Below are 9539 nucleotides of genomic sequence, written 5' to 3' on the forward strand. Positions count from 1 at the left end.
GGTTGCTCAGTTTCCATGTAGTTGTGCAGTTTTGAGTGAGTTTCCTAATCCTGAGTTCTAATTTGATTGCACTGTGGTCTGAGAGACTGTTTTGATTTCCATTATTTTGCATTTGCTGAGGAGTGTTTTACTTCCAATTATGAGGTCGATTTTAGAATAAGTGCTATGTGATGCTAAGAGTGTATATTCTGTTGATTTGGGGTGGAGAGTTCTGTAGATATCTATTACGTCTGCTTGGTCCAGAGCTGAGTTCAAGTCCTGAATATCCTTGTTAATTTTCCTTCTTGTTGATTGGTCTAATATTGACGTGGGGTGTTAAAGTCTCCCACTATAGTTATGTGGGAGTCTAAGCCTCTTTGTAGGTCTCTAAGAACTCGTTTTATGAATCTGGGTGCTCCTGTATTGGGTGCATATATATTTAGGATAGTTAGCTCTTCTTGTTGAATTGATCCCTTTACCATTATGTAATGCCCTTCTTTGTCTTTTTTAATCTTTGTTGGTTTAAAGTCTGTTTTATCAGAGACTAGGATTTCAACCCCTGCATTTTTTGCCTTCCATTTGATTGATAAATATTCTTCCATCCCTTTATTTTGAGCCTATGTGTGTCTTTGCAGCCTATGTGTGAGTTTGGTCTCCTGAATACAGCACATTGATGGGTCTTGATTCTTTATCCAGTTTACCAGTCTGTGTCTTTTAATTGGGGCATTTAGCCCATTTACATTTAAGGTTAATATTGTTATGTGTGAATTTGATCCTGTCATCATGATGCTAGCTGGTTAGTTTGCACATTAGTTGATGCAGTTTCTTCATAGTGTCATTGGTCTTTATATTTTGGTGTGTTTTTGCAGTGGCTAGTACCAGTTTTTCCTTTTCATATTTAGTGCTTTCTTCAGGAGCTCTTGTAAGGCAGGCCTGGTGGTGGCAAAATCCCTCAGCATTTTCTTGTCTCTAAAGGATTTTAATTCTCCTTCACTTATGAAGCTTAGTTTGGCTGGATATGAAATTCTGTGTTGAAAATTCTTTTCTTTCAGAGTGTTGAATATTGGCCTCCACATTCTTCTGGCTTGTAGGGTTTCTGCAGAGTTTCTGCTGTTATCTGATGGGCTTCCCTTTGTAGGTAACCTAACCTTTCTTTCTGGCTGCCCTTAACATTTTTTTCCTCCGTTTCAACCTTGGAGAATCTGATGACTATGTGTCTTGGGGTTGCTCTTCTTGCAGAGTATCTTTGTGGTGCTCTCTTGCAGAGTATCTGCTGCTTCTTGCAGAGTATCTTTGTGGAATTTGAATGTTGGCCTGTCTTGCTAGATTGGGGAAGTTCTCCTAGATAATATCTTGAAGTGTGTTTTCCAACTTGGATCCATTCTTCCCATCACTTTCAGGTACACTAATCAGTCGTAAGTTTGGTCTTTTCACATAGTCCCGTATTTCTTGGAGGCTTCATTTGTTCCTTTTCATTCTTTTTTCTCTAATCTTGTCTTCACACCTTATTTCAGTAAGTTGATCTTTAGTCTCTGATATCCTTTCTTCTGCTTGATCGATTTGGGTATTGTGTGCCTTACGAAGTTCTCATGCTGTGTTTTTCAGCTCCATCAGGTCATTTATGTTCTTCTCTAAACTGGTTATTCTAGTTAGCACCATTAGGTCATTTATGTTCTTCTCTAAACTGGTTATTCTAGTTAGCAGTTCCTGTAACCTTTTTTCAAGGTTCTTAGCTTCTTGCTTTGGGTTAGAACACGCTCCTTTAGCTTAGAGGAGTTTGTTGTTACGTACCTTCTGAAGCCTATTTCTGTCAGTTCGTCAAACTCATTCTCCATCCAGTTTTGTGCCCTTGCTGGAGAGGAGTTGCCATCATTTGGAGGAGAAGAGGCATTCTGGTTTTTGGAATTTTCAGAATTTTTGCACTCATCTTAGTGGATTTATCCTCAAGATGATGATATTCAGTGTTTTTTCCTCATCTTAGTGGATTTATCTACCTTTGATCTCTGAGGCTGATGACCCTTGAATGGGTTTTTGTGTGGGGGTCCTTTTTGTTAATGTTGATGTTATTGCTTTCTGTTTGTTAATTTTTCTTCTAACAGTCAGACCCCTCTTCTGCAGGTCTGCTGCAGTTTGCTGGAGGTCCAATCCAGACCCTGTTTGCCTGGGTATCACCAGCAGAGGCTGCAGAACAGCAAAGATTGCTGCCTGCTCCTTCCTTTGGAAGCTTCATCCCAGAGGGGCACCAGCCTGATGCCAGCAGGAGCTCTCATGTATGAAGTGTCTGTCGACCCCTGCTGGGAGGTCTCTCCCAGTCAGGAGGCACGAGGGTCAGGGACCCACTTAAGGAGGCAGTCTGTCCCTTAGCAGAGCTCTAGCACTGTGCTAAGAGAATCCTCCTTGTCAAGATCCTCTGCTTTCTTCAGAGCTGGCAGGCAGGAAAGTTTATGTCCGCTGAAGCTGTGCCCACAACCACCCCTTCCCCCAGGTGCTCTGTCCCAGGGAGATGGGAGTTTTATCTTCAAGATCCTGAATGGGGCTATTGCCTTTCTTTCAGAGATGCCCTGCCCAGTGAGGAAGAATCTAGAGAGGCAGTCTGGCCGCAGCTGCTTTGCCACGCTGTGGTGAGTTCTGCCCAGTGCGAACTTCCCAGCCTCCTTAGCAATGTCAGGGGAAAACCTCCTACTCCTGCCTCAGTAATGGCGGCCACCCCTCCACCCACCAAGCTTGAGCATCTCAGGTTGTCTTCAGACTGCTGTGCTGGCAGCGAGAATTTCATTCCAGTGGTTCATAGCTTGCTGGGCTCCATGGGAGTGGGAACCGCTGAGCAAGACCACTTGGCTCCCTGGCTTCAGCCCCCTTTCCAGGAAAGTGAACGGTTCTGTCTTGCTGGGGTTCCAGGCACCACTCAGTTGGAAACGCAGAAATCACCCGCCTTCTGCATTGGTCTCACTAGGAGCTGCAGACCAGAGCTGTTCCTATTCAGCCATCTTGCCAGATCTCCTATGTAACATTTCATACTTTGAGGAGTTTACCTGATCTGACAGCATCCTGTTTTAAACAAAGTTCCACTTGTTGGGATTAAGACCTATACCAATTTGGGTGATTGTAGTGGCAATATAGAGAACCCAAATCAAATTGGCTTTAGCAATAAAGGGTATTGGCTCATATAAGTAAAAAAGACTTGAGGTGGGCTCAGCGTCAGGTACAGTTGGATCAGAGTTTCAGCCTCTGCTTTCCTCCATGTGTCAGCTTCATCTCCAGGCACACTCTGATGATAGCAAAATGACTGTAGCACTTCCAGACTTCGCATCTCTACATCACAACATCTAACGAAGAAAGAGCAGATTGACTTATCACTCCCTAAAATGTTCTGAAGTTCACTCTTCATGGACTGCTTAGATCATGTGTCTTTCCCTGAAATAATCACGAAGGCAGGGGAATAGAATGTGATGACTGACTTGGCCAAGGTTACTTGCTCCTCCTTTTGTACAAGGTTAACGATAGCCTTTCTTAACTTCACGGATCTCCAAACACAAACTGGAGGACTGTTGGGAAGGAAGATGAGATAGGCCTGCCTTAGGCCCAATAATACCTTGAGAAATAGAACAGGAAAGCAGGTAACTTAAGTATAGCAGGACATGTTTTCTATGTTGGTATGTAAATCCTTGAGAGCTGGAGTAGTCCCTCCCTCACCTGAAGCTCTTGGGACTCTCTGTCCTAGTGAGACTCTCTGGCTAGTGCCATCTTTGTTCCCAAAGGGTTGCACAGATTGCTGATCTTCATGTATATATGCATGAGGAGCTTAGGGAGAACTGGGAAGCTGTAGTCATTCATTTGAGTTCTTATGTCTTGTATTCTTGGTAAAACCTGTTTGTTGGACTGGTAGTGAAAGCAACATCAGCAAAGTCCAATTGTTCATGCTCACCCATCTCTAACCAGCACACCCTTTGTGGCCTGACCTCACTCTGCAGGGAGGTAACTATAAACAGCCACTACAATGACACCGTCTCAGTGTAGTCCTTTCAAAATTAAAACTGATTCCTTACAGAAACATTCTCTGTTATGAAAATCACTCCTTATCTTTGCTGCTTAAGTCCTGAATGAGATACGTAGTTTAAAACTTCAGAATTAAGTTCAGGTAAAGAAAGCATTGCCTATTTAAAAAAATGGTGGCAAAATATTGGAATGGGTTACTAAGGGAGCTCATAGACTGTGCTTCTCTAGGGAAAAGTGAAAAACAGAAGAGCTTGTTGACAATGATAGTCTATTTATATATGGAAAAAATATGCCTGATTCCTAGGGGTGGCATTACGTTGTGCTTTATTTTAGTGTGTTCTGCTTACAAAGGAGCAATTATCTTTCTGTTGATCCTTGATAGTATGAAAGTTTTCAATTTGACAAATTGTGGTGTGTATTTCACTTAACTTTTACTGAGACTTTACCATGAGCCAATCTAGGAGCTTTGGCTGCACAAGACTTGGTTTCTGCTTGGAGGACACAGTCTAGTAGATGTAGACAGGTATGCAAACCAAAGTGTGCCAAAGGTGCTGTTGGTGTTCCAGTGACAGTGCTTCTCAAGGTAGTGTCCTTGGAACAGACTGATCAGATCACATGGGATTGCTTACTTAAAACCCAGGTTCCTGGTCCCTAACCCCAGACCCCACTGAACCATACTGGAGTAGGACAAGGTGCGCAGGGATCTCATCAACAAGCTCCCAGGTGAAGCTTTGCACCCGGAAATTTGGAAATTGGTACAGGGTACAGTGGGGGCATAAAAAGAGAGAGAATGATCAATGCTACCTTGGCAGGGGTGGCGATCAAAAATGTTTTTATCATAGAGGTGATATTTCAGTTGAGCTTTAAAAAGATGAGGGCGAGTTTTAAAGACAGCCAGGGTCAGGAGGGGGCTTCCAGCCAGGGGAACGGCATGAGTAAAGGTAATGAGGCAGGAAAAGCATCATCTATTCCTCGGAAGGAGCATCACTATCTCCCTTGTTCCTGGGAAGGAGCTGAATGGGGAACAGGAAGTGGTGGCTTACGAGCACAAGCCTATGCTTCTCATACATGTGACATGTTGATTGCAAGCCAGTGAGGCTTTGTTCCACATCTTCCTTCTGGGACACAAGTAAAGAAGCAGCCAAATGAAGTGGAAGGGCTGCTCAGGCAGAAGAAAGAACATGGCAGAGCCACACCATGACTGCTGAGCTTCTGCTCAGAGGCAGCACATGTCATTTTTATTCACAGTCTGTTGGCCCAAAGAGGTCACATGACAGCAATGGGGCAGGGACATATAATCCAATCACAGGGAGGGGCAGCAAATATTTGGAGTAATTATACAATCTCCTATAGGTGGGAGTTAGTAGAAATCACTGAATTAACAGAAAGACATAAACTATCAAAAGAATTGAACAGGCCAGTCGCAGTGGCTCACGCCTGTAATCCCAGTACTTTGGGAGGCCAAGGTGGGTGGATCACAAGGTCAGGAGTTCAAGACCAGCTTGGTCAAGATGGTGAAACCCCATCTCTACTAAAAATACAAAAAAATTAGTCGGGCATGGTGGCAGGTGCCTGTAATCCCAGTCACTTGGGAGGCTGAGGCAGAGAATTGCTTGAACCCGGGAGGCGGAGGTTGCAGTGAGCCTGGATCGCGCCACTGCACTCCAGCCTGGGTGACAGACTGAGATTCGTCTCAAAAAAAAAAAAAAAAGAATTGAACAAGGAGTTCAACAATCTTTTTGAAGTTAGGTTTTGAGGGTGTGATATTGGGATGTTGAATCATCAATTTTTTTATTGGTTATATCTGCACCTATTAGCCAAAGCAGGCTAAGAAATATATATAAAGGTGTTTCCCAGAGTGTGCTGCTTAGAACTCGCTGCTTCCAGGAGATGCTATGGGGTACTATGAGAACGGAAATTATGTAAGTAAATACATTTAGGAGACTTGAATTTTCATAGTGCACGTTTAAGTGTTAAAAGCTCCTGGAAATTCTTCAGTGGTAACAATTAATTAAATTTTTAAAAAAGTAACTTCGTTTTAATACAACATTTCCCCTAGTTTATTTAATCACAGAATCCTTTTTGTGTAACACTTATTAACATGCTGCAGGACTTTTATCTTCAGAATCATACTTCAGAAAATGCTGAATGAAACTACTTTAAAACAATATCAAAGACAATCTCAGTTTTCCTCGGTAACCACTCTAGGATTTACCAAAATTTCCTCTAAAAGAAATGTACTCTGATGCTAATTTAAGTATGTTACAGGCAGAGTCAATTTTCTGGTGCTACACATATGTAATGATAGATGTGACCAAATGTCATAAAGTGATTTTCATAGGACTTCTCTGCTAATTTCTACTTAGATGACTACAGGTCAACAAAATGGGGGCTATATGACACCTTATACACCATAGATGCTTAAATATTTCTAAAGGTGGCACACAGTTGAATATAACCACAAACACTCAAAGCTTTATACGTACTCAGTCAAGCCTCTGGATTGAATAGGTTTGTAGCAATCTGCCAACGACTCCTTCGGAAATCTGAGTGAATGATTTGAGGTGTTAAATCACCGATTATGTTTATTTCTAACACGAGCCCATTCAGTTTGGTTTCCTAAACACTTTTTGGAAGGATCCCTGTGAGATTCCAGGCTACATACCATTATTAGTTTGATACTTTAATGTTGAGATCTGTCCATAATATTTTAAATTTTAAGACAGTGTTTTTTTTTGTTGTTGCTGTTTTTTTCTTTTTTAACTTCTGGAACTCTACTCAGTAGCTTCATTATAGTCTAGATAACTAAACATCTTAAGTAAAGCTACATTTATGATTGCTAATGAAATTCTCATTCAATATCTGCATTACTTATATAGAACTTACTTCCAAAAAGCATTTGAAGAGGCAGCTCATTAAGGGCATTCTAAGAGTTCCCCTTTCTACTAATCTCCCTTTGAGGCCTATCAAATGTTAGGAAGGACACTCTAGTGCTCAAACTCTTTTACCCAAAGTGTTTACTTTCTGTATTTTAATAGCTTCTTCAGTTCCCTTGCCTGTCCCACATGGGTACATGAAGCCTTGTAATTGTGTAAATAAAGAGTAAAAACCTGCAATTATGATATAAATATGTACTCAAATTTAAAGCAACTAGTTATCAAAGACAAATGGATACAGGATCCTGCACCAGAATGAATCTGCTCAATATTGACATAGTGAATCGTCCTGAGAAGATTAAACCACAACTAGAAAAGCAGGCGGAGGGACAGTGAGTGACAGGGGCTTTATGGGGGGGCAGTGCCTCCCAGGGGGAGAGTTCATCTTCTTACTCAAAGAGACGCCTTCAGGGATCATGTAACTTGAATTCCCTGTGAATTCAGTGTCATCTTAGCTTGACCAGCTCTGGAAGAACATATTAACCTCCGCTTGTGATTTTCAGAAAACCATTCTAATTTAGCAAGTAATTAAGGGTCACATGTAGGACAAAGAGCTAGATAATCTTGGATTACCCACAGGAAGCTTTGTCTCCAAGGCAACCCCCGATGGAGGGGCTGTTAATGCGAAGGCCAGTCGGTTAATGAACTGGGAAAGGTAACTGGCTCCCAAACCTGTTAGAGCCAGGGAAATGGACATAACAATTATATGGCTATTGAATGACTCAGTGATAGAAAAGAAATGCTTCCAAAGCCAGTGGAGGCAAAACGTTTAGAGAAAGGATATAATTGTCACTGTTCTGCTAGACCAAATCCACAGATCTAAAATTAGCCTATTGTGAGTTCAAGCCAGGCCAATCTGTATTTATGAATTTTAGCCTAGTCTCCAGCTGAATCTTCTGGTTTCAGTGTTTCCTATGACCTAATTACCCCACAACCTGGTTTTTCCTGAGGGGCAGCCTCAGTTAGTACACTAGGCTGTGAGAGTGGCCCAAGGGAGTTTCGGAAGAGGAGACAAAACTTGTATTGTCCATCAGAGCCCTTGATACTCCATGCTGGGCTAAAAAATAAGATAGGGTTGCACAGAGAAGCACTATAAGAGGATTTTTAGACCAGGTTGGTAAAGGTGGAAGAGAAGACTGCAGGTGACCCAGTGACGGAGATGCTATGATAAGAGGAAAAGAAAAACAAAGGCATTCCCATGAGAAAACTTGAGAGGGACAGAGTGGAAAATTTAAGCGCCCTCGTCACTTCCTCAATGCTGCTCTCTTTTTTCTAATGGTCAAATTTAGGTCTTACATTCTCTACAAAGCCTTCTAAAACTCTACGAGCTCTTATTTATTTCCTGTCTTTGAACACTTACTGAACCACACTGCACACTTACCTGTATGTTCTCTTTCCATGTTCATTAAGAGTCTTGTGTACCTGGGTATTGTGTCTCTCGGCTTGTAAGGTAAGGGATCATGGGATATTCATTCAGCAGTCTCTAAATATTTACTAAGAATCTATTGTGAGGTGAGCACTATGCTAGCTGCTGGAGAAATAAAGATCAATAAAATACAGTGTCTGCCAGAAGGAGCTCATAGACTACTGAAGGATGCAGAGAAGCCAGCATGAAAGTGCAATAAATAAGAGTGACGTCTAAGCAGCTGGACATTCATCTGGTACAGTACATTCCTGGATATCGAGCAACAAGAAAGAGGAGCCGGAATGATTTATCGCCAAGGCCAATGTATGGCTGCCCATAATCACCAACTCAAGAAACAAGTGAAAGCAGAGAGGATTGAACTTCTGGGTTAAGGCAGAAAAGGATAAAAAGCAAAGACATTTTGGCAAAGACTGACTATGATTTCTTACCCAGGAAAATAAGACCAGTGTGGTGTGTTTTCAGCATCTGATGAGGTGCATGCCCTTTTGAGCTAATTCTTCCATCAGGACAGATTTGAGGGTGTAAGGAAGGCAAGTGATGCTAAACTGATCAGATTTAGACCACAGGGAATGGAAAGAGATGATTCACTTTAAATCTGAAACTAAATGGGGAAAGGACTGCTTTCACAGTTGTAGGGGACTCATCTTAAAATTCTCTGGAATAGAAGTATAAAGGCTGAAGGGACCTATTTGGATCTATGGATGATTATGTAGGAAACTATATTAATGATAAAGAAATAAACACCCAACGTCAACAAAAAGTGGAAAAGACAAAAGGAAATCTATCTGATAGAATAAAGCTCAAAATGCTCTGGTGAGTTGAAACCCAAATAAGACAGATGAGCAAGAGGCAGGGCAGAGTCCCAAACAAACCTCAAAGAAATTTAGAGTTTTCAAGCCCAAAGGTAAAAAGTGAAAATGAGATACAGACTCCACCAAGGGAAATGGAAAATACCTCCTTATATAATGAAGACGCAAGAAGTCAGGGAAATCTGCTGCTTATTAGATGGGCTTATGAGAAAAACTCTATGATGCTCATCTGAGATGTTCACACAGTTCTGTGTGCTTACAAAGGAAAACAGAACCAGCACGGGGAGAAGGGACATCATATTTTCCTTTCTCAGAGTAATTATAAACAGATACAAAAAACCTGGTGGGAAAAGTAGATGTGGAAGCAGACAATGAAGAAGCCAATTGGTAGGC

The sequence above is a fragment of the Homo sapiens genome, chromosome 18 (assembly GCF_000001405.40).
Source record: "Homo sapiens chromosome 18, GRCh38.p14 Primary Assembly".
In the NCBI taxonomy this organism is placed as follows: Eukaryota; Metazoa; Chordata; class Mammalia; order Primates; family Hominidae; genus Homo; species Homo sapiens.